The 15,019-nt window shown below is 45.0% G+C and overlaps 1 pseudogene; it reads right to left on the minus strand.

The window, feature by feature from the left end:
• Window positions 1-2,133: 2,133 nt before the first annotated feature.
• Window positions 2,134-10,787, minus strand: LOC101060089 (cleavage and polyadenylation specificity factor subunit 5-like; annotated as a pseudogene).
• Window positions 10,788-15,019: the final 4,232 nt, after the last annotated feature.

The raw sequence follows: 15,019 nt of genomic DNA on the forward strand, positions 1-15,019 counted from the left end.
AAATACAAAAAATTACCCGGGCGTGGTGGCAGGTGCCTGTAGTCCCAGGTACTTGGGAGGCTGAGGCAGGAGAATGGCATGAACCCGGGAGGCGGAGCTTGCAATGAGCCGAGATCGTGCCACTGCACTCCAGCCTGGGCCATAGTGTGAGACTCCGTCTCAAAAAAAAAAAAAAAAAAGAAGACACTTAAGCTGCATAAAAGCTAAAAATAATTTCCCTGGCTGGGCGAGGTGGCTCACGCCTGTAATCCCAGCACATTGGGAGCCTGAGGCAGGTGGATCACCTGAGGTCAGGAGTTAGAGACCAGCCTCACCCATATGGTGAAACCACGTCTCTACTAAAAATTAAAAAATTAGCTGGGCATGGTGGCGCGTGCCTGTAATCCCAGCTACTCGGGAGGCTGAGATGGGAGAATAACTAACTCAGGAGACAGAGGTTGTGGTGAGCCAAGATTATGCCATTGCACTCCAGCCTGAGTGACAGAGGGAGACTCTGTCTCAAAATAATAATAATTTCCCCAAAAAGGTAGTTGAATCTCTTTCTGTCCCCAAGACAGGTAGGAAGCTTTATTTTTTTCTCTGCCATTGTTTATTAGATCCTTTCTAACAGGTCTAGGTAAAATAAAGCCTTTTTTTTTTTTTTTTTTTTTTTTTGAGACGGAGTCTCGCTCTGTCACCCAGGCTGGAGTGCAGGCCTCTTAAAAAGTGTCTGGGCCGGGCATGGTGGCTCACGCCTGTAATCCCAGCACTTTGGGAGGCCGAGGCAGATGGATCACAAGGTCAGGAGTTCAAAACCAGCCTGGCCAATATGGTGAAACCCCATCTTTATTAAAAATACAAAAATTAGCCAGGCATGGGGGCAGGTGCCTATAATTCCAGCTACTTGGGAGGCTGAGGCAGATAATCACTTGAACCCAGGAGGCGGAGGTTGCAGTGAGTTGAGATTGCACCACTGCACTCCAGCCTGGGTGACAGAGTGAGACTCCATCTCAAGAAACAACAGCAACAACAACAACAACAAAACTTGTGTGCCCGCTCTTGCCAGTTGTATTCAACATGGTCCTGGAGGTTTTAGAAAGGGCAATTAGGCAAGAAAAATAGATGAAGTTGGCCGGGCGCAGTGGCTCTTGCCTGTAATCCCAGTACTTCAGGAGGCCAAGGCGGGTGGATAGCTTGAGCCCAGGAGTTTAAGACCAGCCTGGGCAACATGGAGAAACCCCGTCTCCACCAAAAATGCAAAAAATTAGCCAGGCATGGTGGCATGTGCCTGTTGTCCCAGCTACTTGGGAAACTGAGGTGGGAGGATCCCTTGAGCCCAGGAAGCAGAGGTGGCAGTGAGCCACCTCTCAAAAAAAAAAAAAAAGCATTCAAAATGGGAGCTAAAAAAATAAAACTATCTCTATTTGTATATGACATGATCTTTCTATTATTATTGAAGTCCATTTTCTTGAATGTTGTACAAAAAAAGTATAAGTAGAACCAAAAGTACATAAGCATTATCATATTTCTTTACCCCACTATCTAGTTCTTTATATTAATTTTACTATTTAAACAATAGAGAATAGGTGGCAGGCCGGGTGTGGTGGCAGATGCCTGTAGTCCCAGCTACTCGGGAGGCTGAGACACGAGAATCGCTTGAACCCGGGAGGCGGGGGTTGCAGTGAGCTGAGATCGTGCCACTGCACTCCAGCCTAGGTGACAGAGCAAGACCCCGTCTAAAAAAAAAAGAAGGAAAGAAAGAAAGAGAGAGAGGGAGGAAGGGAGGGAGGGAAATAGGTGTCAATTTAGGGATCAGGAAAGAAATAAAACAAAAAACCTTATTTTGAGACACCATCTCTCTCTGTCACCCAGGCTAGAGTGCAGTGGCACGAACATGGCTCACTGTAACCTCAACTACCTGGGTTCAATCAATTCTCCTGCCTCAGCCTCCTGAATAGCTGGGACCACAGGTGCATACCACCACACTTGGCTAATGTGTGTGTGTGTGGTGTGTGTAGAGACAGAGTCTCACTTTGTTGCCCAGGCTGGTCTAGAACTCCTGGGCTCAAGCAGTTATCCTGCCCCAGCCTCCCAAAGTGCTGGGACTACAGGTGTGATCCCAGCCCAAAAATCTTTTCTATCACATTTATTCTTCTACACTGTATAGCTATGTTCACAGAAATGGCTTCTTTTACTTCTCCACTGCACAGGAATTCCATTGTATATAAATTTGAAACTGCTCAACAGCTGAGGGAGACTGCAAACAATAGGTCCATACCCTAGTGCATTGTTATACAATTCAAACAATGGTGTAGCTATGAGCTTGTAATTTTTAGAGATTGCAAACAAGGCTTTTTCTTGAAGTTGAGCCAGAAACAACTTCTTATGTTCCTTAGGCTTTGTAATATATGCAGGAATATATGGATATTTGGTCTCCACCAGTTACCAATGCAGTATGACCCAGTCTTGCATCTTTCAGAACTCCATCTTGATGACTCAGTATCCCAGTCATTAAGCATTTTAGTCCTTCAACTTCACCTTTTCCTGGGCTAAGTTCACCATCAGGTTATATATATATATATATTTTTTTTTTTTCTTTTCTTTTTTTTTTGAGACAGAGTCTCGCTCTGTCACCCAGGGAGTGCATTTGTGCAATCTCCGCCACTGCAACCTCTGCCTCCCAGGTTCAAGCGATTCTGCTGCCTCAGCCTCCCGAGTAGCTGGAATTACAGGGACATGCCACCACGCCCGGCTAATTTTGTATTTTTACTAGAGATGGGATTTCACCATGTTGGCCAGGCTGGTCTCGAACTCTTGACCTCAAGCTATCCACCTGCCCCGGCCTCCCAAAGTGCTGGGATTACAGATGTGAGCCACGGTGCCTGGCCTACCACCAGGGCCTTCACCAACCTGGCCTTCACCTACCGCCTGGCCTTCACCAACTTGAAGAAAGTTGCTCCCAGCAGTAGCAGTAATACATAGAGTAGCCACACCAGTGCTTGTAAACAATCAGAATCCCCTGCTATGTTACTCCTCATTCCAATTTTATCCAATTCTTCCCTCATTTGCTGAAATCTGGATGAGACAGAGCTGTCTTTCTCATAGAGGGGCTCTTTTGTACCAAAAGTATAATTGATGGCCAGGCACAGTGGCACACGCCTGTAATCCCAGCACTTTGGGAGGCGGAGGTGGGGAGGCCACTTGAGGTCAGGAGTTTAAGACCAGCCTGGTCAACATGGTGAAACCCCATCTCTACTAAAATACAAAAATTAGCTGAGTGTGGTGGCACACACCTGTAGTTCCAGCTAGGTGGAAGGCTGAGGCAGGACAATCGCTTGAACCCAGGAGGCGGAGGTTGTAGTGAGCCGAAATTGTGCCGCTGCATTCCAGCCTGGGCAACAGAGCAAGACTTTATCTCAAAAAAAAAAAAAAACAAAAAAACAAAACAAAACAAAAAAACTATAATTGATAATAGGATACAATTTGATGGTGTGCTCCAGGATGAGGGGCTTGGTCTGCTGGTTGTACTTGTTGCTGAACTGATCGGGCTCTCCCTCTGCGGTCAGCTAGTCTGCGAGTGATTAGGTGGTAGGTACCACAGACATGCTGGTGAGCTCCAGGGCTGGTGATGAGCTGAAAAGGGAAGGCAGAGGAGACTTTCTTCATGCAGGCAGCAGTTTTCTGCAACCCGCTCAGCCACAGCCAATGCACGTCCTTAACCTGTGTGATCTGATATGTGAAAAACCCTAAGGAATACACTAAAAAAACCCACTTGAACTAATAAGTAAGTTCAGCAGAGTTGTAAGCTATAAGACCAATGTAACAAAAATTAATTATATTTTTATATACAAGCAATGAAAATTTCTATATGCAAGCAATGAAAATTCTGAGAATGAAATTAAGAAAACAAGTCCAGCTGGGTACAATGGCTCATGCCTGTAATCCCAGCACTTTGGGAGGCTGAGGCGGGAGGATCATGAGGTCAAGAGATTGAGACCATCCTGGCCAACATGGTGAAACCCTGTCTCTACCAAAAATACAAAAATTAGCTGGGCATGGTGATGTGTGCCTGTAATCCCAGCTACTCGGGAGGCTGAGGTGGGAGAATCACTTGAACCCGGGAGGTGGAGGTTACAGTGAGATCACACCATTGCACTCCAGCCTGGACAATAAGAGCGAGACTCTCTCAAAAACAAAACAAACAAACAAACAAACAAAAAAAACTTGTACACTGAACAGAACAAACCATTGTTAAATAAAGAAGATCGAGATAAATGGAAAAACACCCTGTGTTCATGGTTGAAAGACATAATATTAATATGGCAGTACTCCTCAAATAGATCTACAAATTCAATGCAATCCCTAGCAAAATTCTAATTGGCTTTTTTTGCAGAAATTGACCAGTTGATCCTAAAAATCATATGAAAACATAAAGGACCCACACTAGCTCAAACAATCTTTAAAAAAGAAACAAACAAAAAATTAGGCCAGGCACGGTGGCTCACACCTGTAATCCCAGCACTTTGGGAGGCCGAGGCAGGTGGATCACCTGAGGTCAAGAGTTCGAGACCAGCCTGGCCAACCTGGTGAAATTCTGTCTCTACTAAACAAAAAATTGGCTTGGTGTGGTGGCACATGCCTGTTATCCCAGCTACTCAGGAGCCTGAGGCAGGAGAATCGCTTGAACCTGGGAGATGGAGGTTGCAGTGAGCCAAGATCACACTATTGCATTCCAGTCTGGGCAACAAGAGTGAAACTCCATCTAAAAAAAATAAATAAATAAAACAAAGATTAAAAAAAAAAGAAGAACAAAGGCCAGGTGTGGTGGCTTACTCCTATAATCCTAGCATTTTGGGAGGCCAAGGCGGAGGATTGCTTGAGGCCAGGAGTTTGAGACCAACCTGGACAACAAAGTAAGACTATCTCTAACAAAAAAATTTAAAAGGCCAGGCGCCGTGGCTCATGCCTGTAATCCCAGCACTTTGGGAGGCCAAGGCGGGTGGATCACCTGAGGTCAAAAGTTCAAAACCAGCCTGGGCAACACGGTGAAACCCTGTCTCTACTAAAACACAAAAAAGTATCTGGGCAAGGCGGCATGTGCCTGTAGTCCCAGCTACTTGGGAGGCTGAGGCACGAGAATTGCTTGAACATGGGAGGCAGAGGTTGCACTGAGCCGAGGTCATGCCATTGCACTCCAGCCTGGGCAACAGAGCAAGACTCTGTTTCCAAAAAAAAATAATAAATAAAAAAAATAAAGAAATGATTACCGATGCTGGGGGCTGGGTGCAGTGGCTCATGCCTGCAATCCCAGCACTTTGAGAGGCCGAGGCAGGTGGATCAGGAGTTGGAGACCAGCCTGGCCAACATGGTGAAACCCTGTCTCTACCAAAAATGCAAAAATTAGCCGGGTGTGGTGGTGCACACCTGTAATCCCAGCTACTCGGGAGGCTGAGGCAGGAGAATCGCCTGAACTCTGGAGGTGGAGGTTGCAGTGAGCTGAGATCGTGCTGCTGCACTCCAGCCTGGGTGACAGAGTGAGACTCTGTCCCAAAAAAAAAAAGAAAAGAAAAAAGAAATGAATACTGATGCTATAATGTGGCTGAACCTTAAAAATGTTACTGCAGTTGACTGAAACCTGATGCAAAAGTCATATTTTGTATGATTTTATTTATATGACATGTTCAGAATAGGCAAATCTATAAAAACAGAAAGTAGATTAGGGTTTGCCTAGGGCTGGAAGGATTGAAGGCTAGGGGAGGATGGGGAATGATTACTAATGGATATAGCATTTCATTTAGGGTGATGAAAATGTTGGAAATTTAGAACATAGTGATGACTACACAGTTTGGGAATATACTAAAACCATTACATTGTACACTTAAGTGGATGAATTTTATGGTATGTGAATTCTATCTCAATAAAGGTATTAACATTTTTTATTTAAAAAATTCATCAGGAAGAAATTCTCTCCTTTAGGCCAGGCACCATGGCTTAATGCCTGTGATCCCAGCACTTTGAAAGGCTGAGGTGGGTGAATTGCTTGAGGCCAGGAGTTCGAGACCAGCCTGGCCAAGATGGTGAAACCCAGTCTCTACTAAAAATACAAAAAAAAAATTAGCCAGGTGTGGTGGCACGCACCTGTAGTCCCAGCTACTCAGGAGACTGAGGTAGGAGAATCGTTTGAACCCGGGAGGCAGAGGTTGCAGTGATCCGAGATCACGCCACTGCACTCCAGCCTGGTGACAGAGCGAGACGCTCTTTAAAAAAAAAAAAAAAAGAAAAGAAATTCTCTGCCTTACCTATGGAAACCCAGCTAAAGGGAGTTCAATAAAGCGGGAGCAAAAAGCCAGGCATGGTGGTGCACCTATAGTCCCAGCTACGCAAAATGCTGAGGCAGGCGGATCACTTGAAGCCACAGTGCACTACAATAGCATCTGTGAACAGTCACCACACTCCAGCCTAGGCAACATATATGTATATATATAATCAAGTGTTTCATCCTAGCACCAAGGGAAGCCAGTGAGGAGAATTAAAATCTGCACTACTGTCTGACATGTAGAATCAGTTTCATTTACAGAGCATAGAATACAGGGATGGAGGAGTGTATTAGAAACCATCCGAGGTTGGTTTTCCAGGAGAAAGAAAGAAAATTCCTCCCCATTTAGCAATTTTACTGAGCAAGAGCACTCAAAGATACATGCCTCACTCCATATTCAATATTTTATTTTATTTTATTTTTATTTTTATTTTTTGAGATGGAGCCTCACTGTGTCACCCAGGCTGGAGTGTAGTGGTGCAATCTTGGCTCACTGCAATGTCCGACTCCCGGGTTCAAGCGATTCTCCCGCCTCAGCCTCCTGAGTCACTGGGACTACAGGAGCGCACCACTACACCCAGCTAATTTTTTTTGTATTTTTAGTAGAGACAGGGTTTTGCCATGTTGGCCAGGCTGGTCTCAAACTCCTGACCTCAGGTGATCCACACTCGCCCCCCACCCTTCATCCCACTGCCCCAACCCCGGCCTCCCAAAGTGCTGGGATTACGGGAGTGAGCCAATGTGCCCAGCCCATATCCAATACTTTAAATAGCCCATACAGCTGATCCCACTTATTCCTGAAAACACTTGCAGTCCTAGCCTGGAGTCCCTGAAGAATCCCTCGTGGTTATAAACAGCCCAGCTGGTTCTGTGGCAGTAGCCATGTATGTTTATTCCTTGTCTATCCCTTGTTGATAGACCTCAAGGCTTGTCAATTGCAGTTGCATTTTGGAGCTGGTCTCATGGGCTGAGTTATTTTCAGCAACTGTGTGTTTACTTCGTACTCTGTTGACTTGGAGAGGGAGAGTTGAATATGTATACAGCTAAAGCCTCTGTTTCACAGCTTCAGAGATGCAGCTACAAGATCACCTGTTCAGAGTATCTGACAGACCTAAGGGGAGGTGATTAATTACATCTCTTCTAGAATGGGGTTTGAAGTATGAGTTGGGGAAGAACCTAGAATGATATGTTTGTCCTTACCTTCCCACCCCTGGTGGAGCCAAGCTAAAATAATAACGGCAAATGGTTAGTAGGGTTTCCATAGAAGACAGTACAGCATGGCTGTGCACAGTGCACCAAAAATAGTGGAATAAAGGAAAGACCTAAAACAAAACAAAACAGACTGCTTGACTTCAAGTTACATAGACCAACAAGCCATAAGTACCTCCTACACTGTGTAAATGAACTAGAGTCACTGAAATAAACTCCCTGTCTTTGAGAAGTTAGTCTTAAAAAACAACCACCACCAAAGAAAAACCTTACCAAGACAATATTGTGCTGTAGCTGATTCTGTAGCAAAAATTTCCTTTCCCAGGGAGGCTTTGTGTATTTTAGGGTGCCTAGCTTTAGTATCTGAGAATATGAAATATACGACCAAAACTTAGGAAGACAGACAGACTGAATACATGAATTGGTGGCTGATAAGGAGGGATGTTAGGTAGCTAAGAGACTGAAAGCAAGAGAGGAGGAACCCAGGATGTCAATTAAAAACAATAAAATCATGGCCGGGCGCGGTAGCTCACACTTGTAACCCCAGCAGTTTGGGGGGCAGAGGCAGGTGGATCACCTGAGGTCAGGAGTTCAAGACCAGCCTGGCCAACATGGTGAAATCCTGTCTCTACTAAAAAATACAAAAAAAATTAGCTGGGTGTGGTGGTGTGTCTGTAATCCCAGCTACTTGAGAGGCTGAGGCAGGAGAATTGCCTGAACCCAAGAGGTGGAGGTTGCAGTGAGCCGAGATGGCAGCACTGCACTGCAGCCTGGTGACACAGTGAGACTCCATCTCAAATAATAATAATAATAATGAGGATGATAATAAATAAAAATAATAAAACCAGAACATTTTATACCTGAAAAGGTTCTGGATCATGTTTTGCAATCCCTTTACGTTGCAGATGAGAAAACAGCCTCAGAGAGATGAAACTACCAGTCTGAAGGCTGCAGATATTAAAGGACTTCTCTGAGCTCACACAAAAAAGAGCAGAGTTGGAATCTGAAGTTATATCAGCTAACTTTCTCTTTATGAATTCAGCACTCTTACCTTTATACTGTTTCCTTCCAGAAGGAAGTGGGAAAAAAATGCCTAGAAACCAGATGATCAAAGCAGCAACAAGGAATCCTCTCCTTTTTTTGACTATGACAGGCTAAAGATCTGGGAGTCAAGGCAAAAAAAAGAAGGGGCAACAAGGCCTTAGTCAGCTGAGGTGGCCAAAACAAAATACAACAGACGGGGGGACTTAAACAACAGGAATTTATTTCTCACAGTTCTGGAAGCTGGGATGTCCAAGGTCATGGTTCTGGCCAATTCAGTTACCTGGTGAGGGCCTTCTTGCTGACTTGCAGATGGCCCTCAACAGGCATCTTGCTGTATCTTCACATGGCAGAGAAAAAGAGCTCTTGTTTCTCCTCTTCTTCTTATAAGGACACTAATCACATCATAAAGGCCCCACTCTCAAGACCTCATCTAAACCTAAGTACCTCTCCAAGAAAAGCCCCATCTCCTTATACCATTACATTGAGGGTTAAGGCTTCAATATATGAATTTTGGGTGGCATGGGATGTCACAAATATTTAGACCATAAGACAATCTCAGGTACAAGCAGGAAAAGGCACCACATACAAGAGGGCAAGTTGAAAAAGGAAAGAATGAGGATGAAATAAAAATGAATTGGCTGGGCGCAGTGGCTTATGCCTGTAATCCCAGCACTTTGGGAGGCCACGGCAGGTGGATCACCTGAGGTCAGGAGTTCGAGAGCAGCCTGGCCAAAATGGCAAAACCCCGTCTCCACTAAAAATATAAAAATTGGCTGGGCATGGTGGTGGGCACCTATAATCCCAGCTACTGGGGAGGCTGAGGCAGGAGAATTGTTGAACCCAGGAGGTAGAGGTTGCAATGAGCAGAGATCATGCCATTGCTCTCCAGCCTGGGCAGCAGAGTGAGACTCCGTCTTAAAAAAAAAAAAAAGAAAAGAAATAAAAATGAATTGTTCTCAGTCGTCTTTCACATTTCCTGCTGAGATCTGGGAGATGAGGAGGGAAGAGAGGGAAGGTAGCAGCTAGCTTTAGAGTATAAGCATTATAGCTGGTTCCTGAAGCTGACAGCAGTGGAGTAATGGAAAGAGACCTGAACATTGAGTGAGTTAATGGTGATTCAAGGCTCAGCTCCGCAACCAAGTGGTTGGTGACCTTGGACAGCTTGAATGATCTCATCTGCAAGGTGAAGATAATAATAACCTAACTAATAAAGTTGTTATAAAAACTAAATGAGACAATACTTACAAAAGTACTTTTTAAATTATAAAGGGTTACTTAGGTTTGTTTTGCTTCACGGTAGGATAGTTCTGGGGCTACACTAATGTTACAGATATAAAAGAAGTGGAAAACATGGCCTCGGATCTCAAGTGTCTTATGATCCTATAGGATAAATAAAGTTTACAAACATGAAAAACCTTTAAGATAGCACATGGCTGCACAGGGTTGGATCAGAGCTCTCATCTTGTCTGTTGAAGATGACTCAGGTATGGCTAGGTGTGTCTGGCTAGCTGGTGGGATGGGTCTAAGGAAGTTTATTGGCAGGAAGGCTGGGCACTTCATTTGAGAGTCTTCCTTCTAGAGAAATAAGGAGCCAAGCATGATAGCCTTTTTCAAGAGCCAGTGCCTTGGTCATCAGAATGAGGTGTGGTCATTGTTACTCAAACGCAACTCTAGTTCGACCCCTTAGCTGAAAATCCAGGGCACGTGGAAAAGACAAGTCTCGTCTAGACATTGAAAGAGCTGTTTCTTGGATCAGGTGCTGTGGCTCACGCCTGTAATCCCAGCACTTTGGGAGGCCAAGGCAGGCGGATCTCTTGATATCAGTAGTTCAAGACCAGCCTGGCCAACACGGTGAAACATCATCTCTACTAAAAATACAAAAATTAGCTGGGCATGGTGGCATGCGCCTGTAGTCCCAGCTACTTGGGACGCTGAGGCACGAGAATCACTTGAACCCGGGAGGTGGAGGTTGCAGTGAGCAGAGATCACGCCACTGCACTCCAGCCTGGGCAACAGATTGAGACGCTGTCTCAAAACAAAAACAGAAAGAGCTGTTTCTCTGTCTCTGTAACACACTAGGGCTCAAATAACATGTTTTGGGACCTCTCTCTGAGTGTATATCCAAAAGAGCAAGGGAAATTATTTTATGCTACAGCCCAGGTACTCCTTTAATACCCAGAAGGCTCTCAATGGAGCAGTTGAAAAGACTCAGAGTGCCCACAAGAGGGAACAGAGTCATGGCAGTGCCAGCCTACAGAGTTGTCAGTATCCAGCAAGGACAACAGCACAATAACCGAATACAGCAGTGTGCATTGTCCCCATCAGAGCTGTGACAATCCCCAGCAGAAACTGCCACGCCAGCTAGTATGGTGGGAGGCGGTGTTAACAGCTCAGAGCATCCACAGCTCTTGATAGAGCACTGTGGATATTTTGGGACTGAAGGATGTTGGATATCCCATGGACTTGATAGGAACATTGAGGAAGGAGGCTCCTATTAGAAGATGGACCCTAAAAAGCCAGCAAATATTCATGTAAGACAGAGTTATTTCAGATAACAAAAATATCAGCAGACTGAAATCACTGACGTCACAGAGGAAGTGGTAACTGGACCATGGAGTTGATTTCTTGTTGCTTTCTGTGATGGTTAATTTTATGTGTCACCTTGATTGGGCTAAGGGATGTCCAGATAGCTGGTAAAATGTGACTTCTGGGTGTGTCTGTGAGGGTGTTTACAGATGAGATTAGCAATGGAATCAGTAGACCGAACAAAGAAAATCCATCTTCACCAATGTGGGCAGGCATCATCCAACCGGTCGAGGGGGCAAATAGAACCAAAAAAGCAGAGGAAGGGCAAATTTGCTCTCTCTGCTTGAGCAAGGACATTCATCTTCTCCTGCCCTCAGACATCAATGCTCCTGGTTCTCAGACCTTCAGGCCTAGAGTGGAGCTACATCATTGTCTTTCCTAGGCCTCCAACTTGCAGATAGCAGATGGTCGATTTCTCAGCCTTCATAATCTTATGAGCCAATGCCTCACAATAAAATTCTTTCTATATATCTACATATATCCTATTGGTTCTGTTTTTCTGGAGAACCCTAATACGTTTGCCATGTGTGTCTGAATGTCGAAAGGTGCTTCTTATTCCACAGATCTCAGAGAACATTCAACTATGAATTCTGTAATACCCAGAAGTGCCAATGGAGCTTGAAAAGAGTCTTTTTAACACCAGCGTGCCAGGCTACGAGCTGGGCAGCAATTCTTCCTGGCAAGTAGTTCTTGCAATTTGCCTATACCCAGAGCAGATGCTGCTTCTGCTTTTCCCAAAGAAAGCTTTCTCTATATTCTGCCTTTCCCCAGAGACACAGTGGAGACAGAATCCTTAACTCTTCCCCTGGTGAACAGGCTGTTCAGAGTCTCCTATGCCACACAGGAAAAGTCAGAAACGGGTGGTAGCTGGGGATGCAAGAGAACTAGTTTATCCATAGCCTTTTCTCACTGAAGATTACCTGCAAAGATGGTTTCCAAAGTTGCTTAGGGAATCTGCAGCAGTAAATCTCAAGTGGTCTGGTGGTTGCCATTGGCAACACTCTAGCTTCCCTGAAAACAAGGGACAGGTGTGCTTTTTGCCTCTTTAATATATTGGGGATGAAGGTAGGGGGTAGGGAGAAAGACTGACTGTTCCTTATTCTGAATTCATTTTAAAGATGACTACTCAATGAACTGTAAACGGAATGTCCCTTAATATTTCCTAAGGTGTAAAGCATTTCACGCTCCTGTTTTGAGAGAGAAACATCATCAGCAATCTAGCTAAGTGATAAATAAATCAAATGAAATTTAACGAAGGCAAAAGTTGCCAGGTCTATAAGCTTGCTCCATGAATGTAAGCAAAGAGAGTTGGTATAAATCAGTTCTTAATTTTTTTTTTTTTTTTTTTTTTTGAGACGGAGTCTCGCTCTGTAGCCAGGCTGGAGTGCAGTGGCATGATCTCGGCTCACTGCAACCTCCGCCTCCTGGGTTTAAGCGATTCTCCTGCCTCAGCCTCTAGAGTAGATGGGATTACAGGCATGCGCTGCCACGCTCAGCTAATTTTTGTATTTTTAACAGAGACAGGGTTTCACCTTCTTGTCCAGGATGGTCTCGATCTCCTGACCTTGTGATCCGCCTACCTTGGCCTCCCAAGGTGCTGAGATTACAGGCATGAGCCACCGTGCCTGGCCCAGTTCTTAATCTTTAGTGGCCATAGTCATCATCTGGAGACATTGCCTGAGGCATTCTAATTCAATACGCCTGAGTTGAGGCATGGGCAACAGCAGCCTTATTTACTCTTCTTTCCACTACTATCAAGAGTCTGCAAGCAACTTATTCAACCTCACCTTTAGAGCCTATGTCACCCTGACTGAAATGATTGAAAGAAAGCTTGGAAATTCATAAAAAGAAGGAGCCTGAAGATGTGACTGTCCCCTGGAATGCCAGTCCTTTCACTGATAAACTCCTTTCCTATTCCCAACGTGTCATTCCCATCCACCACTTCTAAGATTGGGGGAAGATTTGACTATAGCTAGAGCAAGAGTGAAAAAGCAGCATCGGCCAGGTGTGGTGGCTCACACCCCCAGTACTTTGGGAGGCTGAGGTGGGTGGATCACCTGAGTCAGGAGTTCAAGACCAGCCTGGCCAACATGGCGAAACCCCATCTCTACCAAAAATACAAAAATTAGCCAGGCATGGCAGCGGGTGCCTGCAATCCCAGCTGCTTGGGAGGCTGAGGCAGGAGAATCACTTGAACCTGGGAGGCAGAGGTTGCAGTGAGCCAAGATAGTACCAATACACTCCAGCCTGGGTAACAAGAGTGAAACTCCGTCTTAAAAAAAAAAAAAAAGCAGTTATTGGCAGGATGTTAGTGCATTCTATCTGTTGCTATGATTTAGCTACACTCTGGGCTAGAGACTCTAGAAACAGTGAAGAAGGAAAAATCAGAGTCCCACCTGGGCTTCAAGTACCAACCCTCCTCTACACCTATAAAGGTGAATGGCAGGCTTCTGAGTGCTGTAGATACTGCCTTAATGCCCTTCAAATCATAAAGGCTTTGATCTAATTATAAGGCCAATTCTTTTTTTTTTTTTTTTTTTGAGATGGAGTCTCGCTCCGTCACCCAGGCTGGAGTGCAGCGGCACGATATCAACTCACTGCAACCTCCGCCTCATGGGTTGGAGCGATTCTTCTGCCTCAGCCTCCTGAGTAGCTGGGACTACAGGCATGCACCACCATGCCCGGCTAATTTTTGTATTTTTAGTAGAGACAGAGTTTCACCATATTGGCCATGCTGGTCTCGAACTCCTGACCTCGTGATCCGCCTGCCTCGGCCTCCCAGTGTGCTGGGATTACAGGTGTGAGTCATGGTGCCCAGCGGCCAATTCTTGTTTTATTGGCACATAACAATTGCACATATTTATGGGATACATCTGACATTTTGATACATGCATACAATATGTAATAATCAAATCAGGGTAATTCGGGTATCCATCACCACAAATACTTATCATTTCTTTGTGTTGGGAATATTCCAAATCTTCCAGCTATTTTGAAATATGCAATAAGTTATTGTTTACTATAGTCACCCTACTTTGCTATCAAACACTAGAACTTATTCTAACTGTATTTTACTGTATTTTTGTATCCATTAACCAACATCTCTTTTTTTTCTTATTCTTTTTATTATTATTTTTCAGAGACAAGGTCCTGCTCTTTCGCCCAAACTGGAGTGTGGTGGCAAGATTATTTGTAACCTCGAACTCCTGGGCTCAAGCAACTCTCCTGCTTCAGCCTCTCCATTAGTTGCGATGACAAGCCTGCACCACTATGCCTGGATAATTTTTATTTGTTTGTTTTTTTGTAGAGATAGGGTCTTTCTATGTTGCCCAGGATGGTCTCAAACTCTTGGCCTTAAGAGATCCTCCTGGCTGGGCGTGGTGGCTCATGCCTGTAATCCCAGCACTTTGGGGGGCCGAGGCAGGTGGATCACGAGGTCAGGAGATCGAGACCACCCTGGCTAACATGGTGAAACTCTCTCTCTACTAAAAATACAAAAAATTAGCCGGGCGTGGTGGCAGGCACCTGTAGTCCCAGCTACTCGGGAGGCTGAGGCAGGAGAATCACTTGAACCCGGGAGGTGGAGGTTGCAGTGAGCCTAGATCGTGGCACTGCGCTCCAGCCTGGGTGACAAAGCTGAAACTCTGTCTCAAAAAAAAAAGAAAAAGAAAAAGAAAAAAAAGAAATGCCAATGTGAGCAAATCTCTTCTGAAAGAAGACGGCTAGGCAGGGCATAATGGCTCAGGCCTGCAATCCCAGCACTTTAAGAGGCTGAGGTGAGTAGACCACTTGAGGTCAGGAGTTCGAGACCAGCCTGGCCAACACAGTGAAATGCTGTCTCTATTAAAAATACCAAAATCAGCCAGGCGTAGTGGCACACACCTG

Source organism: Homo sapiens, chromosome 11 (assembly GCF_000001405.40).
Source record: "Homo sapiens chromosome 11, GRCh38.p14 Primary Assembly".
In the NCBI taxonomy this organism is placed as follows: domain Eukaryota; kingdom Metazoa; phylum Chordata; class Mammalia; order Primates; family Hominidae; genus Homo; species Homo sapiens.